Consider the following 26852-nt stretch of genomic DNA (forward strand, 5'->3'; position numbering starts at 1 on the left):
GAGAGCCAGACCCAATAGAAATGCAAGAGAGAACTGTCCAGCAGAAGCTCTGGTCTAATGTTAGCTGTTCAGAGCTAACCTGTGGAAATCCCATGGGGCCACATGAAAATAAATACTCCACCCTTTTCTTATCCACTGTACTCCTCCTGCTGCAGCCTGTCTCAACTGGAAACTGTAGGGCAAAGGAACTCTGATGCCATTCCTAAAGGGCAGTCCCCAGGACACAAAGCACAGTGGTAAAGAATGAAAAATGGATTTGAAAGGACAAGAGGGAAAGAATTTATGCACTAAGCATAACTTTTCCCTTTCAAGTTAATCTAGTATGTTGAGTTGGTTTGCTCTTTAACTAAACCCCCCTGTTTCCAAAGCCTGAGGATAACATACTACCTACTGAGTTGGTAAACAACCTTAAGGCAGCAGTCCTGGAGCCTAGACAGAGACATTGGATGAGTAGACGAATGGAGGTACACGAGGTATACATGGATGGATGCATGGATGGATAGGTGAATGGATGGATGAAGTCAATCACATTAGTATTTTACAGACACACGTTACACAACCTGTATCTGAACACGATGAGTCTCTCTTCCTCCTTTGATTATGGAAGTTAAGAGCAAGCACTGAGGTAACCAATATTATATAGATTTCTGGAGTAAAACAGGTACTCATCATGACTATCAACGATTTGAATTTGGGGATGATGTCAATTATTCAAAGAACCTGAAAAAAGTAGTGAAGTTGCTTATCTGAGGCCCCAGAACTTCCTTCATTTTACTCTGGCTTTCAACGTTGGATACACATTAAAATTATCTAGGAAACTTTTCAAACTGAGATGCTCGGATTACAGACCACTTAAGTCAGACTCTGTGGAAATAGAACGCAGATATCACTGTTTGTAAACACTCCACCAATGTGTAGCAAAATGCGAAAACTACTGATCTTTCCACTCTCTTTAAGATCTACCATTATGAGCCCCAAAATCATTCTGGTTCTCTTGGTAATTTACATTTTTTAAAGGAAACTCTAAGATGCCTTGCTGATAATATTATATATGAAAAGGGTTATCGAATTTATCGGGTTTGGGGTTGGGGGAAATAATACTTATCAAAGGAGTAAAAATATGAGCAGTTCATAAAATAACCTGTGATAGTCCAGATTACTTGCATATTTTCCCTTGCATTTCAGAGTCCTTATCAGTATTCAAAGGACTGTAGAGCTTTTAGAAATGCTTCAGTGAGGAACACTTTATACTCTGTCCCTGATAAATGAAAGTGTTTATTTCCTCTCAGATAAGTCAGTAACAAGCAAGTATTTTCTAGCAACTGGACTATACCCACCTATTCATTTCCCAAGGCTCATTGGGCATCACTAGGAATACAACAGGTTTTAGTTACTACCAACCCCAGTTACTGTAGAATTAGGCAATTATATAAGAGTTTAAAAAATCAGTAAGGATGTTTTTATTTTAAACTACTTGGATAATTGAAAAGTAGGTAGACAACATTTATTTTTTGTCTTTATTTGCCAAACGACTGTATTAGATTTAAAACCAGAAAACAAGCCCCTATGTAGAATATAGATTCTCACCAGTTCATAGATCAAGTAATAAGACATTTCCTAGGGTGTTTAATTGTTTGATACTAAGAGCAATAAATTATAGGAAAATAATTTGTAATAATTGGTTAAGTAATTAACCACAATTAAGAAAAGATGATGGAATCCCTGAGGATATCCGACAATACTGACAACATTATAAACTTTAAGAGAAAAAAAATAGTTGTTGCAGAGCAAGAAAAGTCATCATGTGCCTAGCACAAATAGAGGTCTAATTATAGGGGATTTTACGTTTTTCATAATGTCTACAATGAGCATATACTACATTTATAATCACGAACAGTCCATTAGCAGGTATCATATATCTGAGTTGGGAAATACCCTGTCACTTCGCTAATACTTCTTTCTTTTTGTTCTAATAGTGTATTCACCAAATAATCTTCTAAATATATATGTGTATATATATATATTTGAGATATATATGTATATATATTTGAGATATATATGTATATATATGTGTATATACGTGTATATATATATTTGAGATATATATATGCAGGAAGAAGTGAGTGACATTCTAAGAAACACTAATGACCAAAAAACCACATAATATCTTTTCTTAGTGGTGTTCCTTCCTTATATTGGCCAACCACCTTGCAATAAAAAATGATGATGTAGACAGAAAGGAAAAGTTAGAGCTACCTATTCTTTTTCCTTTCCTTTTAGTCCCTCCTTACACGTCAGTAAGCCAAAGGGCATCTTCTTGATAAACTGTACATTTATGAAGAAAGGAAATAAAAACCATTAAGTTCATTTTATGCAGCATTTCCACTATTCTGGTAAGTAAAGAAAGCATGTGTGTGGATGATGTATGAAATACAAATTGTGTAATTTCTATGACTCTCCATATAAGTTAAATATTCTCATATATCCATCTAAAAATAGCACTGACTTCAGTAAAGTTTCAGGAAACAAAATCAATATACAAAAATCAGTAACATTTCTACATACCAGTAATTTTCAAGCTAAGCACCAAATCAAGTATGCAATCCCATTTATAATAGCCATAAAAAATAAAAGAGGTGAATGATCTCTATGAGAAGACTTACAGAACACTACTAAAATAAATCACAGATGACACAAACAAATAGAAAAACTTTCCATACTCATGGATTAGAAGAATCAATATCATTAAAATGGCCATACTACCCAAAGCAATCTACGAATTAAATGTTATTCCTATCAAACCACTAACATCATTTTTCACAGAACTGGAAAAAAGCTATACTAAAATTCATATAGAACCAAAAAGGAGCCCAAAAGTAATCCTAAGGAAAAAGAACAAAGCCAGAGGCAGCACATTACCCAACTTCAAACTATACTATAAGGCTACAGCAACCGAATCAGCATGGTATAACGTTTCAGTTACATACAATGAATAAGTTCTGGAGATCTAATGCACAGCATAGGGACTATAGTCAGTAATACTGTATTGTATACTTGAAATTTGCTGAGAGTAAATTGTAAGTTTTCTTACCACAGACACAAAATAACTATGTGAAGAGATGGATATGTTAATTAGCTTAACTGTAGTAATCAGTTCACTGCGTATATGCACATCAAAACATCCCATTATACATCTTAAATATAGGCAATTTTTATAACATTTAAATAAGAGCAAAAACAAAAACAAAAACAGCATGGTACTGGCACAAAAACAGACACATAAACCAATGGAACAAAGTAGAGAACCCAGAAATAAAGCCACACACCTGCAGCCATATGATTTTCAACAAAGTTGACAAAAATAAGCAATGGGAAAGGACTCCCTGTTCAATAAATGGACTGGCTAGCCATATGTGGAAGAATGAAACTGGATCCCTAATTTTCGACATGTATAAAAATTAACCCAAGATGATTAAAGATTTAAATGTAAGACCTCAAACTAGAAGAATTGTAGAAGAAAACCTAAGAAACATCATTCTGGACATTGGGGTTAGGAAAGCATTTATGACTAAATCCTCAAAAGCAATTGGAGCAAAACCAAAAAATTGACAAGCGAGACCTAATTAAACTAAAAAGCTTCTGCACAGCAAAAGAAACTATCAACAGAGTAACAGACAACCTACGGAACGGGAGAAAATCATTACAAACTACATATCACACAAAGGTTCAATATCTAGAATTTACAAGGAACTTAAAAAACTGAACAAGCAAAATACAACGCCATCAAAAAACAGGCAAAGGGCATGAACAGACACCTCTCAAAAGAAGACATACAAGTAGCCTACAAGCATATGAAAAAATGCTGAATAACATTAATTGTCAGAGAAATGCAAATCAAAACCACAATGAGATACCATCGCACACCAGTCAGAAAGGCCATTATTAAAAACTCAAAAAACAACAAATGCTGGTGAAGCCGCAGAGAAAAGGGAATGCTTATACACTGTTGGTGGGAATGTAAATTAGTTCAGCCACTGTGGAAGGCAGTTTGGAGATTTCCCAAAGAATTTAAGACAGAACTACCATTCAATCCAGCAATCCCATTACTGAATATATATCCAAAATAAATAAAATTGTTTTAACATAAAGACACATGCATTCACGTGTTCATCACAGCACTATTCACAATAGCAAAGACATGGAATTAACCTAGATACACATCATTGGTGGACTGGATAAAGAAAATCTAAATATACCCCATGGAATACTATGCAGCCATAAAACAGAATGAAATCATGTCCTTCGTAGCAACACAGATGCAGCTGTGATGGAGGCCATTATCCTAGGCGAATTCATGCAGCAACGGAACGCCAAATACCACATGTTCTCACTTGTAAGTGGGAGCTATATATTGGGTACTCATGGACATAAAGGTGAAAACGATAGACACTAGGGATTACTAGAAGGGGAAGGAGGGAGGGGGATAAGGGTTGAAAAACTGACTATTGGGTACTATACTCAGTACCTGGGTGACAGGATCATTCGTACCCCAAACCCCTGGAATTCACTTGCATGCTCCCTCCCATAAGGAGTTGAAAACTGGTCTAGGTAAATGAGGCAACCCTGTCACGAGTCCCGGGAAGGGGTCAGGGAAATAGGCTGCTTCGATATCATACAACTCTCTTTTTAAAAGGTCCTTCCAATATTTCTTCCAACTTGAAGTCCAGCTTTACAACAAGTTTCTGGACTCTCTTCTTTCCTACTCTGCAGGTTATCAGAAAATAAAACAAACAAAACCGCAAACTACAAAATAACAAAAACACCCAAGCAATGTGATTAGTTAAGACATTATTAAAGTGTGGGTGTTTCCAGAGACGTTTCCCCTTTACAAACCATCCTATTCTCTTACCTTTTGAGAAGGGAGTGTGTGCGTGTCTACGTGTACATAAGAGAGACAGAGAAAGTGAAAGAGAGGGAGATTTGGTAGATAAAGACTCAATAGACTTAGGAATTTCCTATGTCGTTATTTGAATTTGAGAGATTACTGAGTGTAAGAAAAGATAATCCATTTTGGCTGGAGCAGTGGCTCATGCCTGTAATCCCAGCAATTTGGGAGGCCGAGGCGGGTGGATCACCTGAGGTCAGGAGTTTGAGACCAGCCTGGCCAACATGGTGAAACCCCATCTCTACTAAAAATACAAAAATTAGCCAGGTGTGGCGGTGTGTGCCTATAATCCCAGCTAGTTGGGAGGCTGAGGCAGAAGAATCGCTTCAATCCAGGAGGCAGAGGCTGCAGTGAGCCGAGATGGCACCACTGCACTCCAGCCTGGGTGACAGAGTGAGACTCTGTCTCAAAAAACAAAAAAAGAAAAAAAAAGAGAATCCATTTTAACTTGAATCTTGAAATTTTCTGTAAAGTAGCAGAGGTAAATTGCCATGGAAATCATAGGAAAGGAAATATAAGCCCAACACGGTAATAGACTCTGCAATGAAATATATTTATGGTGCTATAATAATAGTGTACATACTGTTTATATGTTTTCAATTTTTAGAATAAATCTTTGACAAAACACGAGACCTAATCATAGTTAGAGAACACAGAAGGAATGCAACTCAACATAAAATTAAAAGTAGACTTTACAGAATTTGGGAGAAGAAATTCAGTAGGAGAAGTGAAGAAACATGGAGGACCACTAAAATCCCCATTTTATCATGTGAAGGGTTAAGACATACTTTTGACACTGTTTTGAAGAAAAAAATTAACATTTAAGGTCTTCATGTAAAAGAAAAATTAGTTAATAGAACAAATACATGGGGTAGATATAAATGAGATAATTTTTCATCTCTCATAAGAGAGACTGTAGACCATGAAAAAATGAGAAAATCAAGAATTAGAGATATAAACATGTTATTACAGATTTGTCACGCATTAGAAAAAGAGAATGACTCAAATATCTGCCTCTGAGGAGTGAGAAATGAGAGAGGAATGCAGCATATTTAAATAAAAGAACTTATGAAGTAAAAATTACTTGAATCATGTACAGATAATTTGATTAAAAATTGAAAACATTGATTCAAACAAATTTATATTCATTAATAAGCATTGTACACTTTTTAAAATTCCAATAAGAAAAAATGAGAGACTTAAAATTAGGTAGGAATGCATTTCCCAGAGGTTAAAAATTTATATTTTAATATATATGCATATATAAGCGGGATCATAATACAGCATTATATGTATACATACTGTGTATTACAGTCTGCTTTATTTTTTCATGTATGTATTTGGATTACCTTTAATATCAATGCAATCACCTGTAAAATTTTATTTTAAATTTCCCTTCTTTAGAGATATATCATTTTTTAGTAGCCTCCTACTGATGAATACTGGTGTTGTTTCCATTTTTCACTGTAATAACAATTAAACAATAAATATAGGTACAACTCAGTCTTTGCACATAGATGTAAGCATTTCTTCGATAATTTCCCTGGAAATGCAATTGCTTAGTCAAGTGTAAGCACGCTTTCTCTTGATTGGTATTGCAAACTGCTCTCATGAAATAAATTGATTCAGTCTTCTGTCAGAAGCATACAAAGTATACAAGGAAAAGTTATTTTTATTTTCATTATTTGGTTACAAATGAGATCGAACATTTTTTCATATACCTTTGGATGTGTTTTATTTTCTTTTTGTCCAAATATATGGGGTACATGTGTAATTTTGTTACATGCATAGATTGTGTAGTGGTCAAGTTAGGGCTTTTAGAGCGTCCCTCACCCAAATATATCATACACATTAATTTCTCATTATCCACTCCACTCCAACCCCCTCACCCTACTAAGTTTCCATTGTCTATCATTCCACTCTCTGTGTACATGTGTACACATTTTTTAGCACACAATTATGGGTGAACATGCAATATTTGACTTTCTGTGTCTGGTTCATTTCACTTAAAATAATGACCTCCAGGTCTAACACTTTCTTCCTGTATGCTTAAAATTAGGCAATGCATTTATTTTTCTGAATTGATTTGTAAGATTCAATTTCAGTTTACTGGTTTTTAATGTACAGATTTTAAAAATTATCTATGTGTTTTCCATTTTAAATTTTGGGTTTTTAAAATCATTTCTACATAGTTCTCTACCATCGCCTCATTGTAGAAATATTCACCTATCGTTCTTCCTGTTCTTTGGGCTTCTTAAGCTTAATTATGATTGAATATTTGTTCAAGGTGAAATTTAATTCACTGCATTGTGTAAAGCAGGGTTTTGCCTTTTAACATGATTATCAAAACCATTTCTTTCATAGTCCATCTCTATCCACTGATTTGAAATTCCATTTTTATTATATACACTTGAGCATATTTTGGGATTTTCTCTTTTGTTTCACTAATCTGTTTGTATAGACTTTTAGTAGATTTTTTTTTTTTTTTTATACAGAGTCTTGCTCTGTTGCCCAGGCTGGAGTGCAGTGGCGAAATCTCAGCTCACTGCAACCTCTGCCTCCCTGGATCAAGCGATTCTCCTGCCGCAGCCTCCCGAGTAGCTGGGATTACAGGCGCCTGCCATCATGCCCGGCTAATTTTTGTATTTTTAAGTAGAGGCTGGGTTTCACGATGTTGGTTAGGCTGGTCTCGAACTCCTGACCTCAGGTGATCCACCCGCCTCGGCCTCGCAAAGTGCTGGGATTACAGGCGTGAGACACCGCACCCAGCCAGTAGAAGTTTTATTAAACACTCTAATAGCTACATGGGCAAATGACCTTTCATTTAAGGTTTTCAACATTTTCTATTAATCCTCATCTATATTGCTGCCAGATAAACTTTAGAGTAATTCTTGTCACATCCAATGTCTTCCTGCCACCCCAATTTAAATTTTATGTGTTTCTATCAGATTTTAGCTTAATTTGTAGTAAATTATATGTCTAAAATATTAATATTCCCACCAAGAAATATAAAATTATATCTGTCCATGGATGCAAATATTCTGTTATTTTTCCAGTAAAGGCTTGTATATCACCAAATTTCATGCTAAATAAATTCACAGTAATTTCACATTTTGAACTTCTGTGGAAAATGATAGCTTTGATTTTCAATAGGTTGTTAAAAGAGAAATTAGCATTTAGAAAAATTACATTTAATTAATATTTAATTATTTCTAGGTTTTTTCTTTTCTTAATGAGCTTTGGGACTAATTTTTCCCATTAGTTATAATAGTTGTCATTGTTGATTTACTTAGTACCAAGTTGACAATATCATCTATTAATATGAATAATTTGACTTTTTTCCCCAATACTTATACTTCCTGTTTCTTTTACTTGGCTTCTTTCACTGACTAGAATATGCAAAATAGCATTTAAAAAGAGCAGTTTTGGTAGTCATTCTAGTTATATTTCTAATTTTAATGAGGATACCTTCAATATTTCAACATTGATCACAGAGTTGGCTCTTGTTTTGAGATAGACAATATTTTTCATGCTTATAAACTATCATCTATTCTTACATTGCTAAAAGTTTTGTTTCTACTCCTAAATTAGGGACAGATTCTTTTCATTTATCAATACTTTTTCATAACTAAAAAGTATTGTATATTTTTTCCTTCTGATCTTTACCTACAATGAAGGATGTAAATAGATTCTCTTATAGTAGGCATATATGTTTTCCTGAAATAAATCCAATTTGGCATGATAACTTCTTCTCTTATTGGCTAAATCTGCTATGTTTTATAAGATTTGAACGTCTGTATTCCTGAGATTGGTTGATAGTTTTCAATGTGTATGCTATTTTTTTGAAGTCTCATAATCAAGATTATAAGGGCTTTAGAACATGAACATAGAGGTTTAAATACTATTTTCATGGTTTGGAATTTTGTAAACAGATAATTCATACTTAGTTGTTTGAAAGCATTTCTCAATATAGTATTTTTGAAGTTATTTCTTGTACTGCTTTTTAAAGGTTTCTTACAGAATCAAATGTTTAGTTCTCTTATTTTCCCTTTAATCTCAAATATAAAAAAATTAAGGCTATTAATTTTCTTTGATTACAGCTTTGTTCTTATTCCAGAAGTTTTCATGTGTATTTTCCTTATTCATTAATTTTTAAATGGCCTACTTTTTTTTTGGTTCAAGGAAAGAACACTACTTTTTCTCTCCTGTTACAAAAACAATGTATGTTTACCATAAAAAGATACAACAATAACTATTAAGAAAAGTACAGATAACTCATTTTTTCATTAAGCAGCACCACTGCTAACATCCTGTTGTCTACTCTGAGTGTTTTTCTGTATATCTGTCTATAAAAATCTAACGTAAATTCAATGTCCGATTCCTGTATTATCTAAAAATTATATCATATGATCTACTAATCATCTTTTCCTATTTGTTTTAAATTGCTTGCTGGTTTTGTTACATTACATTTTTTTCTAGACATTTTATAACAAAACAGATATATCAAATTAATCATATTCAATGATGTGTTGTTGCAAACATATGTTTATGAAGTCCCTGCTTCGTTGACATTTTTTTTCTTGTTCATATGGCTGGATTTTCTTTGAATTTACGGGCTTTTGTATGGGAGCTGCTATATTGTTTACAAGTTCAATGGCTTGCAACCTTTCCTGTGCATTATAGTCACCTGGGGAGCTTTTAAACAGCCCAGTGACTAGGTTGCCACCTAAACCAATTAAATTAGAAACTTCCCAGGTGGGACCTAGGCATCTGTAAGTTTTAAAGACTCTCGTGATGTTCTAAATATCAGCAAAGGCAGAGGACCATTGAGCTTGTTAGAATATTTGGGAAAGGGTGTTTCTAAGATTAAAACTTAAGGCTTATGTATTTCGTAAACGCAGCTGCTTTAACAAATTAGTAAACAAGCTAATCCTAGTATCTCTAAAAAACACTAGTTTAATTTTGCCTGGAGCTGCAGTTCTCAATATATTGTCCAGCATATCCTCCATGCAGGGAAACCACTGTATACACCAATACTTATGAGGGAGGATGATTTTTCAACTGCAAATCTTTAATTGCCTTTTAGAAAATCCATCCAGTTTTCCTTAAGCAAGTTTTAGAAAGCACATACACGAGCAATTACAAATCTGGCCTTCAGCCTAACTCAAGAATTAAAAAAATAAAATCTCAAAGTGAAGTTGTATTAATTCTTTTTTTCTCCTTACTTTTATTTCATAAAAATAGACATCTTTATCATAAAACTGGCTTCTTGACATCATTTGGGGCCACTTTCCCTCTGAAAGACAATTCTAATTGCATTTACTTGTTCTCAGAATCATACATTTTTTTAAAAATGAAAATAGTTTGTACACGAGTTGCCAAAGAATGGTCTAATTCAGTGTCAGGACAAAGATGGTCTAATTTTGCATTATTTAGTCATCTAATTAAAAACAAAACTAGTAATAATTTAGCCATAAAGCTGTTCATTGAAGAATAAAAGCAATTGTTAATTAACTTTTCATTGAGGAAAGTCATACATTTTTCATGTTATCATAACATTTCAAAATGCCCTGGGAAATTACAAAATTAAGGTAATGTAAATTATTGATATATTATAACTCTAACAATGAAACATTTTACCCAGGCCTCTAATGAGGATTCTCAGTTAAGGGGAGGAGCAGAGGAATGCATAAACACATGGGAGGTGGGGTGGAGCGGAAACCCAGCTTCCAGGAAGATGTTTTAGGAGAAAACAGATTCCTAAGCTATTTGAGGTACAACAGACCGAAGGCAATGTGCAGTGCAATTTATTTCCCTAAACTTATCTGTTATAAAACTGAATCCTTAAGCTGGTTGTACAAAGTCACACAACTAGTCAGTTAATGTTCTACAAATAGCTCTTTCAGAGATTTTTCTACTAGACTTGTCACCTTATTTAAACCTTGAAACCCCACTCAAAATTGACAGTGAGAGAAACAGACACACACACACACACACACACACACACACACACACCAGGGACGGAGGGAGAGAAAGTGTATTAATAGCTAAAACCCCTCTTGGCCTTGGGAAAGAAACTCTCTACCCTCTGTTAATAAGAAGTGAGAGAGCTGCCTCCTCTTTGAATAAATCAGGTTCTTTAGACAATGTAGAGTTAAGGGCTTTACTCATCACCCTGTTCTCTGGATGCCATGTAAGCTCACCAGATTCTTGTGAAACTACAGAGAATGGATTAGACAGTCCAAAACATAACAGATTGTACTTGTGTTTGCTCTGGTAAGTGGAGCTTTAGTTTGATGTAGAGAAATAAGAGGAACCGGCATTTCTTTCACCTGGACATTATGAAAGAGAGGTATCTGAATCATCCAATTAAGTGAGCAGGAAATCTGGAATATTGTAGGTGTTTTACATGCTCATTCTTTCTTTCTACCTGCTTAATTGTATCTGTGCTATTTCTGTTAAATGCATCTGCGGTGAACTTTGCAGTTGCTAAGGAGAGCGTTTGCCAATTCCATATGCCTAGTCTAAGGTAGGCTGAAGCTAATCTGTCATTCTGGAGAAGCAAGAGAAGCTAAGGTTTTCATAATATTTAGTTGATAAGGGATGAGAACTTTAGATACATGTTATCTCTTACTTTGCTATTTTTCCAAAAATGTATTTGAAACACTGTTAAGCAGAGCAATAATATTTATGCAGCATTTTACATTTTTAAAGTCCTTTAAATATTACATCATGCATCAAAAATTATCGATACCAAGATGTGATTGTCTCAATTTTAGAGACGATAAAATTAAAAATAAGAGGTTCTCAAAATGTCATTATTTTATAATAACTGAACAAAAGTTTTACCTCAACATTTAACATCAAAAACATTTTCATTTTTATTAGATCATGATGTTCTGTTTGCTCGTCACATAAAATATTTTAAAGAGATGTTTGGGGTTTAAACAGATTAAGTATTTCTATAGTGCCTTGAATTAACAAATAAAAGTAAATAATACTAAAACTACACCCATCTATTGTCTTGCTATGAAACCTAGAGGTAAAGTGTATGTGAAGTAAAACAGTATTTTTGAAGTTGTAATGTCTTACCATTGCTTCAATTAAATCGTTACATACACACACACACACACACACACACACACACACACACACACGCACACATAATATATTAGATGATAGATAGATTAGATAGGTAGGTAGGTAGGTAGATAGATAGATAGATAGATAGATAGATAGATAGATAGATAGATAGATAGACAGACAGACAGACAGACAGACAGATAGGCATTTGTGATCCCCACTGAAAAAAACTGGCAAGCTTGCCTAAAAGTGAGGAGAATTATTAAGAAATAGTAAACTACCCAAGGACATTCTGTTCTTTTCCTTACACATAAATATGAACGATGGTGCTCCCCTTTGGTTCCAACTTTCTGTGTTTCATCCCCTATCATGCCACCATTGTGTTAGTGTTTCCCATTTCTCCTTTACATTCAAAGTGTTGCCTGTCCCATTTAATATTTTAATCTGAAGAAATCCTTGGGATGGGAAACACAATGGTAAAGAATGAAGAATCGCTTTTTAAAAATACTGATGATTACAATGTATTCTTAACAAGCTTTGGATGAATTTGTATTAGTCGCCCAAACAGTTCTAAAAAAAATCAGCATAACAGCAAATTTGACAACAATCAAAAACTCATCCTTTCTGAATATGTCCCTGAAAGAAAAGCTCAGCACTGTATGCAACTCCATCATATGGAGCCCAGAACATCTCTTTGTGGATATGTGACTAAAGGCAAAATAAACATCCAGTGTAAAGGTGCAGAGGCAAAAAAAAAAAAAAAAATAGAGTGGTCTATTGGAGGAAATACAGATGGACTGGTATTGCTAGTAGAACGGTGGTGAATGAAGCTAGAACTATAGCCATGAACTAGATTTTTAGAAACCAGTATCCTATACTTGGGGGTTAGATTTCATTATGTAGACAGTAGTTGTGGCAACCTATGGGATTAAGTAGGGTCCAAAAACAAATATGTAGTAGTAGTAGTAGTAGCAGCAGCAGCAGTAGTAACAGCAATGACAACATCTAGGATCTATTGAGCACTTAAAACAGGCCAAATACTGTTTTAAGCTCTTTACTTGTATCAGCTATTTAATTCTCATAGAAATAAGTATCATTTTATCATCATTTTACAGGTGAGTGATGAAGTATCTTGCTACACATTATGGAGGTAGTAAGTAGCAAAGCTGGAATTCAAACAGAAACCAGTGTGCCTTTACACTGCACCACCCTGTATGCTTAGGGAGATCACTCTGTTGGCACATTGCAGGGGGAGAAGGACATTGGAGACTGTATTCACCACGGCCATATATTGTGTGATGGTATATTTCTTGGAAAGCACAATTCGGGAACACCATAGCAGAGAAGGCAAATATTATCAGCCTTCTTTACAGGTTAGAACATAGACTCAGAGTGTTTAAATTAATTGGCCTTACCCTTCTGAATCTTCATACACTGCACTTTCTACCCATCAGAATTACTTATTCCTATTTCCTAAGATCAGTCATTCCAGAAAAAATGAACTTTCTTCTTTTTATGAATTCAGAAGGACCGGAGACAGGTAGGCAAGACGCATGAACACAAAAGTGTCTTAAAATCTCAGAGATACATTCATTTGTGCACTTTCACTTATTCATTCATTCAGTAATCATTTATAGAGTCTTTTATGAACCATGTGCTATAAGCTAGGTCCCGGGAGTAAAAGGCGGGAGTAAGCTGACAATTAAGTTTTCTTTTGTCCATTGAATTTTGTCCAATTCGCAGGTGGTACTTGGTTGGTTGAACCTCCTAAAGTTACCTTCTAGCTCATGCCCCCAACTATTTGCCACTTTACAAAAACGTCACACACACCATAAACTGAGAAAATCATCAGTCCAGGGAGGCTCATTCCTTCTGCGATGAAGAATTCCTATATTGTCGCAATATTCAGCTGACAAGCCATGGGGTAAAACTACTGTGAGCATTTCAACTTCTGATTATACCCCACCATTTTTTCTGATGGAATACAGAGAGTGGCCAAACCAGCAGCCTTCCTTCAGGCCACATTTCCCCAGCCCAGAAGTTCCTAAAATCTTGTGGAGGCGATTCAGCTTTATATTTGACAGTTATTTATATTTCTGGCCCTACAGACTCTGTCCGAGCAAAAGCTTTTCTAGACATATAATTTTAAGGGGAAAATATCAATATTTGAAGAAAACAAGTGTGCTGGAATGTCCCTCTACCTTATGATTCATTTGTTATTCCTAGGGTGTTCTGCAGCAGGTTAAGTGGGCTATTGAACAAAGAAAACCCCAGGAATTCTGACATATTCTATTACCTTAAACTGATCGAAAATCAGCTTTTCTTCTGTTGAGATGAATTACTTGACAGTCAGTAGAAAAATTCTTCCCATGGGTTTCTCCTTTCTGAAACCTTTCCCACCCCCAGTCCTCAGAAATATACTTTGGTGAGTTTCCTCTATCCCAAAGCATTATTCATATAATCCAAGAAAAACTGAAAGAGACTTGAGGACTAATTTGCAATGATCTGAGGTACCTGAAATATTTTATTCATTTTATTTTTATATTTCTTTGAAATAAATACACTTACTATCCTAAGGGTAACTCTGATATTAAAAAGACTCACATTTATTACATATATACCAGAGCCTATATCCCCAAATAGAATTATTTATGAGAAACCTTAACGCAAATAAAGATACTAAGCCCTCGGGGCCTCTTGTGCTTTTATATTTGACATCTCCTCTTTTTAAATATTCATGTAGAATAGCCTTAAGTAGAAACTTGAAGATGTGCTAGTATAAAACATTTTCCTGAGCCACTTTATTGTTGATGGGGTGTTTTCTCAATCTGGATCTCAGTAAGTCTTTCCCTTAAATGAAAAAGGGCTATTTCTCAAACCATGTATGAATGCCAGCATTTGTTCAGCTTCTTTTTTTGTTTGTTTTTTTTTTTTGAGACTCAGTCTCACTCTGTCGCCCAGGCTGGAGTGCAGTGGCACAATCGCGGTTCACTGCAACCTCTGCCTCCTGGGTTCAAGCGATTCTCCCGCCTCAGCTCCCCGAGTAGCTGGGATTACAAGCATGTACCACTGCACCCGGCTAATTTTTGTATTTTTAGTACAGATGGGATTTCACCGCGTTGGTCAGGCTGGTCTTGAACTCCTGACCTCATGATCCGCCCGCCTCTGCTTCCCAAAGTGCTGGGATTACAGGCCTGAGCCACTGTGCCCAGCCTTGTTCAGCTCCTTTAGCTTACTTTAGAGCAGTCACAGGTTGCCACTTTTCCAGCATCAGGGACAAAGTTCAGATCAATTTTATAACACGTCGATTCTAAAAATCACAGTCTCGTGGGAGGTGGAATATCTGTCACAACTCATAACATATTTCCTACTGCTTCATGTTCCATATATTAGAAACCCATTCACCACTAATTTCCCCAAATTTACAAGTTAAGAGTTTAAATTATAGTTTTATAAGTGAATTTATCTACTTTATTTTTCAGGTCATGGATTCTAGCTCTCATATGAAGTAAGGTCTTAATGCTTTTTATTTCTTTACCTTATGTTAAATTTCAGATTGATGAGCTTTCTAATAATATTGAAAGTTCACATTACTACCTTAGTAGAGCTTCCAAATTCAAATTGAAATTTCACTGGGCTGGGTGCGGTGGCTCACACCTGTAATCACAGCATTTTGGAAGGCCAAGACGGGCAGATCACTTGAGGTCAGGAGTTCAAGACCAGCCTGGCCAACATGGTGAAGCCCCGTCTCTACTAAAAATACAAAAAATAGTTGGGTGGCTTGGTGCATGCCTGTAATCCCAGCTACTCGGGAGGCTGAGGCAGGAGAATCACTTGAACCCAGGAGATGGAGGTTGTAGTGAGCAGAGATCGCGTCACTGCACTCCAGCCTGGGTGACAGAGCAAGACTCCACCAAAAAAAAAAAAAAAAAAGAAGAAGAAAAGAAATTTAAGCGAAGATGTGAGTAACTGTATCAGACCAGACTCATTTTTATATGTAAAAGATGAAATGGCGTTTTCTACTCTTAATAAAGGCAAAGATGAACTAATACATAATGCAAAATGAGCACTGGAAGAGATATACAAGATGGGTAAGAGCAAAACTATCAATTTTTGTATTTTTCATTCATTCAGCAAATAATTACCAAGCAAGTCATACATACGTAAAATAGTCTTTATATTTTTTGTCCCATCTCTATGATAGTGATGAAAGTGAATGATTCTTTAAAAAAATGATAAATATTAAATATCGGCTAGATACAAAATATTATCATTGGTGTATATAACCAGAATTTAAGTTGAATCATTGGCATCAAAGATTTTAAATAGTTCGGAAAATTAAAAAATACATTGCTAGTCCCCACTTACAAGGAGCTTGAGAAGAGAAAATAAAAATACCAACAAATCAATACAGAAATATTCACTATAGATCATGAAACTCAATGACCTGTAATAAAGTTTAAGAAAAACAATTTTATATTGCCTTGATAGAATAGCCCAAATCATCAAAGCAGATGGAATTTTCAAAGACAGTATGCTATCATGAGAAAGACATGTGCGGAAACTAGGAAGAAGCTTGTATTCTGAATGTGTTACCAAGAGGTTACAATGAATGTAATAAAACATCTTTTTGTGGTAAGAAATATGGAAAGACAGTAGCTGTTCTACTGCATTAATCTCCTTCCAGGTTAACAGGTGCAGCAGCAGTTGGCTTCAGAAACTCTTGTTAATGCGTTCCTCAGACTGTCCCATCTGCTTCTTATTGTTTGCTCCATACAAAGGCATGTTAATATGTCTACCTACATATCATCATTGTTTCATTTTATTATTTGCTAACTGAACTGTGCCAACATGATAGAAAAGAATCAAGCTTACTATAATTTTAAGATACTAAGACACTTACTAGTAAAAACAATGTTTATCGAATTTAAGACCTTTGTGGACTCATAACAGAGAACTAGTTCTGTGCAACAGGTTCCTTTCACCTCAAGCCATTCAATCAACATTTTAAAAATTCCAATACGATTGCTCCAAGGACCTATGAGAGATACTTTGGATTCAAGGACCTCAGAGTCGAGTGGAAACTCTTTCTTTAAATAGAATGTGACCCAGAAGCCCAATATGAAACAGATGAAGAGTGAGCTATTCAGCTAAAGGAATGCTGATGGTGGTAGTGGTGGTGGTGGGCATCCACTGTCTTCTCACCCTACACATGGCCCTTGAAACACTACTAAAACCCACTAAGGCTCCAGTGAGACTATTGTAAAATTCCCATATATTCTCCAGTTCCTAGTTTGTCCACCAAACCTATCCACAGCTTTTCTTTGTTTTTAACTTTTAAGTTCAGGGGTACATGTGCATGTGTGTTATATAGGTAAACTTATGTCATGGGGATTTGTTGTACAGATTATTTTGTCATCCAGATATAAGCCTACTAACCATCAGTTATTTTTTTTTAATCCTCTCCCTCCTCCCACCCTCCACCCTCCAACAGGTCCCAATGTATGTTATTCCCCTCTAAGTGTCCATGTGTTTTCATCATTTAGCTCCCACCTGCAAGTGAGAAGACACAGTATTTGATTTTCTGTTACTGTATTAGTTTGCTAAGGATAATGGCCTCCAACTCCATCCATGTTCCTGCAAAGTACATGGTCTCATTCTTTCTTATGGCTACGCAGTATACCATGGTGTATATGTACCACATTTGCTTTATCCAGTCTATCATTGGTGGGCATTTAGGTTGATTCCACGTCTTTGCTATTGTGAATAGTGCTGCAATGAACATACGTGTGCATGTGCCTTTGTAATAGAACGATTTATATTCCTTTGGGTATAAATGCAGTAATGATATTGCTGGGTTGATGGTATTTCTGTCTGTAGGTCTTTGAGGAATTGCCACACTGTCTTCCACAATGGTTGAACTAATGTACAGTCCCACCAACAATGTATACGTGCTCCTTTTTCCCCACAACCGTGCTAGCATCTACTATTTTTTGACTTTTTATTAATAGCCGTCCTGACTGGTGTGAGATGGTATTTCATTGTGGTTTTGATTTGCATTTCTCTAATGATTAGTGATGTTGAGCTTTTTTCATATGCTTGTTGGCCGCATGTATGTCTTCTTTTGAGAAGTGTCTGTTCATGCCCTTTGCCCACTTTTTTAGTAGGGTTTTTTTTTCTCATAGATTTGTTTAAGTTCCTTATAAATGCTGGATTTTAGACCTTTGTCGGATGCATAGTTTGCAAACATTTTCTTCCATTCTGTAGTTTGTCTGCTCACTCTGTTGATAGTTTCCTTTGCTGTGCAGAAACTATTTAGTTTAATTAGATGCCATTTTTCAATTTTTGCTTTTGTTGCAATTGCTTTTGGCATCTTTGTCATGAAACCTTTGTCTGTTCCTATGTCCTAAATGGTATTGCCCGGGTTGTCTTCCAGGGTTTTTATAGTTTGAGGTTTTATATTTAAGTCTTTAATCTATCTTGAGTTAATCTTTGTACATGGTGTAAGGAAGGGGTCCAGTTTCTATCTTCTGCATGTGGCTAGCCAGTTATCCCAGCACCACTTATTGAATAGGTAGTCCTTTCCCCATTGCTTGTTTTTGTCAGCTTTGTTGAAGATCAGATGGTTGCTAGGTGTGCAGTCTTATTTCTTGGTTCTCTGTTTTGTTCCATTGATCCATGTGTCTGTTCTTGTACCAGTATCATGCTGTTTTGGCCACTGTAGCCCTGTAGTATAGTTTGAAGTCAGGTAATGTGATGCATCCAGCTTTTCTCTTTTTGCTTAGTATTGCCTTGGCTACTTGGGCTCTTTTTTTTGGTTCCATGTGAACTTTGAAATAGTTTCTTCTAGTTCTCTGAAGAATCTCAATGGTAGTTTAATAGGAATAGCATTGACTCTAATAAATTGCTTAGGATTGCCTTGGCTACTTGGGCTCTTTTATTGGTTCCATATGAACTTTAAAATAGTTTCTTCTAGTTCTCTGAAGAATCTCAATGGTAGTTTAATAGGAATAGCATTGAATCTAATAAATTGCGTTGAGCAGTGTGGCCATTTTAATGATATTGATTCTTCCTATCCATGAACATGGAATGTTTTTCCATTTGTTTCTGTCATCTCTGATTTCTTTGAGGAGTGTTTGGTAGTTCTCCACGTAGAGATCTTTCACCCCTCTAGTTAGCTGTATTCCTAGGTATTTTATTCTTTCTATGGCAGTTGTGAATGTGATTGCATTACTGATTTCTCCCTGTTGCACTGCATGCAACAGATGCAATGGAACAGATTTCTCTCTGTTGTTGGTGTATAGGAATGCTAGTGATTTTGGCACATTGGTTTTGTATCCTGAGACTTTGCTGAAGTTGTTTATCAGCACAAGAAGCTTTTGGGCTGAGACCATGGGGTTTTCTAGATATAGCATCATGTTGTCTGCAAACAGAGATAGTTTGACTTCCTCTCTTCCTAGTTGGAGGCGCTTTATTTCTTTCTCTTGCCTGATTTCCCTGGTCAGGACTTCTAATACTATGTTAAATAGGAATGGTAAGAGAGGGCATCCTTGTCTTGTGCTGGTTTTCCATGGGAACACAGCATTCCTTAAATAGACATGAAGCCCCTGCCCACACCCCAGTGAAAAACAACTCACTACTTCCAGATTAAGCTTTTTATATTTTTGGCCATCTCTCACTGTTACAAAGTTTGTTTGTTTAAATATTTAGTGGACAAAGGGCTCTCTTTCCTTTCTTCTCATCATAATAAGAATATGCTTCATTGCATTTCCACTGATTAGCTGAATATTTGAAAACAGCTAATACGTCCCTAAAATTATAAGTTGCTTTCTAGACAGGCTCCAGTTTTTCAGTGTCTCATTTAAATTATGTTCCCCAGAGCTGAACAGTACAGATTTGGTCTGATGAACTTACTTTTAGTGTCAACAAAGAGGGTGTTCTGGGCACCATTTCAATTACTATACTTATTTGTTTTTCTTGTATCTCTATCATAATGTTAAAGTCATCGTAAACTCTTGTTTTTTTATTTAATACTTTTGGGTGGAGAGAGGGGAATGCTAACTTAAGAAATTATATTTTCCCTATTCAATTTTATTTTGATGTATTAAGCAACTATTTCAGTGCCTAATATGTGCCAGGCATGTGATAAACAGCAGGATGCAAAGTATACATAGTCTACATCTACATGGTGTATACATATAGTCAAAGAAATATTATAACAGTTAACATGTATTGGTAACTTAAGACATATGTATAGAGGAATCTGAGGCTTGGTTTGTGGTCAAGATGGTATATATATAATCCTTGGTTTGTTTGCTTCTTGAGACAAATCTAGAAACAACTAGGCCAAAGTAAACACTATCAACTATTATAATAGTCATGACTCCTTTGAGTATTTATTCTTTCTTCTGGAACTCTGACAGATATTGTGATTTAAGGGCGTAGGGATAGGAAAGGAAAAAAATGAAAGCAAAGAGACAGTGAGAACACTTTTTAGAGCCAGGGCACAGCCTAAGATGAAGAACAAATGAAAGATCTACATCAGCAGCCAAAGGTAAAAATAAGCACTTCAGAAAGAAAACTGATTTTCCACAGAAGAAAAAATATGGCAGACATAATGTCTGATGGCATAGGCTCCAGATGGAATAAGAAATACACAGCTGCAGAGTAAGGCTATCTTCAGTTAATCGAGAGAAGCCTGATCATCAGAAGCATTAGCCAATGTCTGTAAACATATAATAATAAAATAAATGCAGAAATCACTATAAATCTTTGTGTTAATTTTGTTTTATAAAAATAATTCAAGAACTGTTATTTTGGAACCATTATATGTATATAGTAAGGTAATTACCATATAAGCAATTATACTAATGTCATTAGAAACATAGATTTTCAGCGTAAGAGAGAAGAGACTGCAGTTAAAATCAAATATGTTCGTTCCTAATTCTTGATCCAAGTGGTGATCTGAGTGGTAGCTATCTGTGTTTATGGTATATGGTTATGTTATGCTTCAATAACAAAGTGTATTAAAAATAGAAGAAAATGCAATAAAAGTTTTAAAAAGCAAAGGGCAAGAATAAAGATAAATCGTTTCTTCAATAAACAGTGCTTATCAATCACTATTGCACATTTTATTTCACTTAATTTCTCAGAAAAACCTTATTTCTATTGAAAATCTCTGTATCTTCAGGCACTGGAAAGACTCCCACCAATTTAACTGTAACTCGGATGTTGATTTCCTAACACAAGTTCCTCCCATTATTTAATTTACCTAAGGACTATCAGTTACCTTAATGGAAAACCCTTCCACTTATTATATCTCTAAGTTATCTAACAATCATGTCTCTTAAGAAAATATATATTTTTATCTCAAGTAATCTCAAGTTAAGATTACTACCTTTAACTAAAATGTTTATCCATTCAATTAAAATTTATTAAAGTCAGCTTTGCAAATGGTATTTCTTATTTTTCTTCTTCCTTTCATATGTGTACAAAATATTAATTCAACCCAGAAGTGTTTTTCCTCCCTACCAGAAAGGTAATCTTATTGGTTAATTTATTACCTCATTCACTTAACTTCTACATGTTACCCAGATAAACTATTGTAACCAGAACTTACATTATTACGATTGCAATATACATTATTACCAACCTGCTATTTAGGAGAAAAAACACTTCTTAGATATCATAAATGCAGCTTTAACATGCAGAACTGCTTTAAAACAGGCATACAGGAATTTTTTGGGGGGGGATGAGGGGTGTGTTATTTTTAATATGTCTAAAGGTAATACATTTAATGAACTATACAATATTTATAATAAGTTATTACAAATATGTTCATTTTATGAATTTTTATTTTTTCTTAATTATGAAGTTTGTAAGTATATTAGGAAGGTAATAACTTCACAGCAATGTGGCAGACACAGTTGAATGTAACGTACTCATTAATTTTCAAAACAATCCTATGAGATATATACTCTTAAGATTCCTTTTGTAAATGAATAGACTGAGGCACAAAGAAGGTAAATAATTTGCCTGAGAGCATTCAGTGCGCAAAGTACAAGGCACCTAATTTGAATTTGGCTTCAGAATCCAACTCTTAATAGCTACATTCTGATGACCCTAGATCCAGGGACTCTTCTCATCCAATTCCGGTTTTGTTGTGTTTTATGTAAAACACACCACTGTGGGTTATCAGATTCCAATTTTGTTCATTGTCTTGAGGATTTTATCATTTACCTGTAAACTAAACTGAATTCTGCCATCTCACCCATTTTGCCACTCTTACTAAATACTCAATTGTTTAGTTTTCCTTCAATATCGGGCTACATCTCTCCAAATTGATGTTTATAATTTTTTGCCTTCCCTCTTGACTTGACATCACTGAGAATTAAAATCTGACTGCCCAAATCCTTACTGGGACTCCTACAACCTACTGATTCTACTGGGACAACCTACAAGGTTGTCTTGTAGCTGTCTTTCTCCCCCAGGATTTGAAAAAGCCTTGCACACTGAAGCCCAAGAACTTGATATAAACTTCAAAAGACTTACCACCACAACAAATCACGTATAGGCAACCTTCATGCCTGGAGCTCCTGCTACAAGAGCCATTCAGAAAGTCCACTGGAACTCCAGCATCATCCGTGTTCTGTTCCAGGAAATAACTATGACTGTGAAATTAATGTTTATGCCATCACCACATTCAAACCATAAACCAGAAAATCCATCAGATTACCACTCTACCATCTGAAGATGCTTAGAATTCAATGTCTAGAAAACTTCTTAACTGCCTGCCCTCTAGACTCAACAAATAGGATTTATATTCTTCTCCAACAAGTTTTTGTTTTTATGTTTGTTTCCATAGAGGTGCCTCTCATTAAATGCCTGATCACGTGCATCATCCAGCAACTATGCTCTACTAGCAAGTCTCAACCGATGATTTAGCTAGTCCTTAGTAAACAAAAGGCAATCGAATGACAAATGGACTTACACTGTTCAGAAGGATGAATAATGTGTCTTCTTTACTTGAACAGGAGTGAGGCTCCACCAAGACGCTCCCCTTGACCAAACTTTAGCTAGGCTCCTCTGAGCCCTCTTCTCAGCTAGGCCATAACCTTGGCCTGCACAGACCTGAACAAAAAACACTAACATAGCTTCTAACAGGTCAAAGCCACCTCTCTAGGATAACTCTAGCCCCACTTAAGGTGCATTTCTGAGAAAACTCAAAGCTGCCAAAATAATTTACCCTTTGTTCCAGTCAAAACCCGAAGACAGTGAGAAGGCAGGAGCCTAACCTTAAGTGCCATTTAGCAAACGTAGAGGTTTCCCAGGGAACAATCCCACCTTTCCACTTTTTGTAATTTGTTACTTCCCTGACTTTAATGAGCCACCACTCAAACTCATTCTCTCATTCTCCCTTTAAAACTCCCAGTCACCTCTACACAAATCAAAGTTCAGTTCAGTTCATGCTGAACTCTTCTCTATTATAATAGTGTATTACTGATTAAAATCTCCCCTTACTAATTAAACTGACGTCCACTTTTGCTTATCTTTGGATAACTGGTTATTTAGTTGGTTTAGTTTCAGTTTGTGAATGTCATGTGGTCTCAAAAGGTCACATCATATAGATAAAACCGTGCACGCCAACATCAATGAACATGTGAAGAAGGTAAACATGATTATTTTATTGCACCATTTGTAAAAAAAAAAAAAAAAAAAAAAGGTCAATTTAAACGAAGTACTGCATGATTACATTGAACGTATTTACGTATTTGTTGAATAGTATTTTTCCCTTGTAAAATTGTATATGTTAATTATACAAATGTTGGAATCTACAGACCATGGAAGCATAAAATATATATTGCCTCCCATTCTGAGAAAATCCTATTGAAAGATAAGTTATGTCATCACAGTTTTTCTGTTTTTGTTTCGTTTTGGTATGGCTTGGTTTCTGGCTTTTGTTGTTATTATTTTGTCTATATAGGCAAGTATTCATTTATTTCCTGCATTAGTCAAGGGTCTCTAAGGAAATATTTGATTTTATCAACAGCTGAAGTAGGAAAGAGTGCCTGGAATATAATATCCACTTAGAAGTTTTTTATGGTATGGTTGATTCACCCATTCTATTTAACCTCAGCATTCAATTACTCTCACTGCTATTTTTTTTTAAACCTGAATCATACATTTTACATTTAATATACACTCATTGCAAATACATTTAAAAATTCTAATAAGGCAGAGCCTTTAGAAGAATGCTTGACTCAGAAACTCAATAAATCTTTGTTAACTATTGAAGGAAATTTTAATTAAATAATTAATATTCATAATCCCACTCAACAAAATTACTGATTTTTATTAATAGTTTTTTCAATCACCTGTATATTTTAATTAGCATACTGTAAAGAAAGTAATCATTTTTCCTTTTTAAAATAAAAAACACTATGTTATACTGACTTTATCACTGAGATAATCTCAAGCAGTTATTATGAGCTGCTTTTGAGCTATTTGAAGGTACAGTTTTACTGCTATGTAATTTCCAGGCCTATGTACATCTAGGCATAAGATTTTCTCAGCTGTTAAAGCTCGTCTCGTTGCCATTTGTCCCCTCTTAATGATAGCAAGAACTAAGTCATCCCAGTTTTGCACATATTATACTTGCGTTAAGTTCTTTTTCCAGTTATAAGAACACAACTTTAATTTCTTATGGATAATTTCATCTGAACAACACATTTTAGACCGAAACTTCAGTTTCCTTAATAATTTGTACTTTTGATTGTGGGAAAATGACAACAGCATACAATAATAGAATATTATACTTTTCTAGCTGGGGAAGGCTGATGACACAAAAGCATAGGACTACAAAATGGCAAAAAACATGATTATAGTGTATACATGAGTTTTTTTGCAAAGATCTGAATAGAGAAAAGCAGTAAAATAGTCTTCACAACATATATTGAAAAATGCTAAAAATACAATAACTTGCACCATTGCAGCTAGTACTATATTCACATTATAAAAGGCCATTTAATGTATCCAAGACAACATTGGCAGACACATTAAGGTTATGCTTTTGAGTTCTATTGCTTTTCTGTACTTCTGTTTTATTTGATTTGAAAATATGATTTGTTGTTGTAGATCTATATGCCCTTTCACCATAAAGAGTGTGCCCTTTGTTTTATATTCGTGCTTCTATAGGTAAATTTTAATAAAAATAATTTTAATCAGCATTGGTTGAGCATAGGGCTTTTTATTTCTTTAAACTGGCCTGTTTATTACTCAGGTTTGAGTAGCACTACACTATACCAAGCATGAAGCAAAATGTCTTAACACTAGGGGAAGCTGAGCTTGGTTCTTTGTAGAAAAACTCTATCCAGGAGACATGGGGTAGATTAATACAGACATTCACACACACCTCCACACATATGGGAAGGTTGAAGAATTTGTAACATCATCGTTTTATTAAAACAAAATATGTCTCACCACATTGTTGGGTACATGTTACTGATCTGGCTTAATAATATATAGGATTTAACTTCCTGTACTTGATATGCTTGGAGGCAATATTACTGCAGTACAAGCCAGGGCATCAGTTTCACTATGCTTTTGTCAGCATAGAAAGTAGCACTAGAGGACAAAATGAATTTGAACCAATGAAGCTTTCATACAATACCCTGAAGGGTACTAGTGTAAGACAGGGGCAAGAAAGAAACAGTGATGATGTGAGATGTGACCCGATAACTGTCCTTCATGGATCTACACAACCTCTGGAAATGCCTTCTGCCTGCAAGAAGCGTCAGGAGCCCTAGAACATATGCTAATATATATAATTAAGGAGGCCAAAGACAATCATACCACTCTATTCAACGAAATTTATATATTCACATACATACACACATATACACGCATGCCACATATACAGAAATTTATGCATACATGTGTATTGTAGTTTGAGTTTCATAATAAAACTCAAAAGTGAAGACAGTTCACATGCACACGAATTATTAGACACAAAAATTGGAAGGAGGTAAAGGATAATAAAGTGTTATAATAACAGGCTGAAAGAACTATGATTCTGTCTTCTTTATCCCAAAATGAACTTAATAAATTAATATAACCTCAATTGCAAGAGGAAGAACACGTTGAGGTTGCATACTAAGGTGTATTTTATATCTGATGGTTCCATAGCTATGAAAGTCTTGATGATGCCAATGCTAGGCATCCAAATTTGCAGAAGCAAAATCTCTGGTCAGATTGAAAATGTGTTACAGTAAGGAGGAGGTCTAATCTCTCATCTTTTTTCTCTGCATAAATTTTGAGTGTGCTAACCACACAATAAGTAAGTTGTCAATAACTACTGTTTTGATTGATTGTATTAATCCAAATATTGAAATGAGCATGTTTGCTGCTTTACTGCTTCCTTGTTAACGCCTAGTAAATGTTAATTACTAAGTAAAGTTTCTGAATGAATAAATAATCCAGAGATAAATGTTATACCCACACCTCAGGAATGCCCACTGGTGATCTACAAGAGAAGTTGGGGTCAACCAAAGTGTATAAAGGTCATACAGAAAGGACTCAGGAGGTCAATGTAAAGGAGGCTTCCATCGCATAAAGATGAAAAATATGAGGACAATAAAGATCATAATACAGAAGGTGGAGAGCCTCAGTTACATTTAAATATATTTAAATTCATGCATTCGCAGTGATGCCAAAACAAACAACTGGATGATAATAAATAAATAAAATATTCACTGGTGGTCGGGTGCGGTGGCTCACGCCTGTAATCCCAGCACTTTGGGAGGCTGAGGTGGGCAGATCACGAGGT

The 26852-nt window shown here is 35.2% G+C and overlaps 1 protein-coding gene across 17 annotated transcripts in view; it reads right to left on the bottom strand.

Moving 5' to 3' along the window:
* The window catches only part of DMD (dystrophin), a 2220167-nt gene that overhangs the window by 1817968 nt on the left and 375347 nt on the right, over window positions 1–26852 (bottom strand).

Source organism: Homo sapiens, chromosome X (assembly GCF_000001405.40).
Source record: "Homo sapiens chromosome X, GRCh38.p14 Primary Assembly".
NCBI classification, from domain to species: domain Eukaryota; kingdom Metazoa; phylum Chordata; class Mammalia; order Primates; family Hominidae; genus Homo; species Homo sapiens.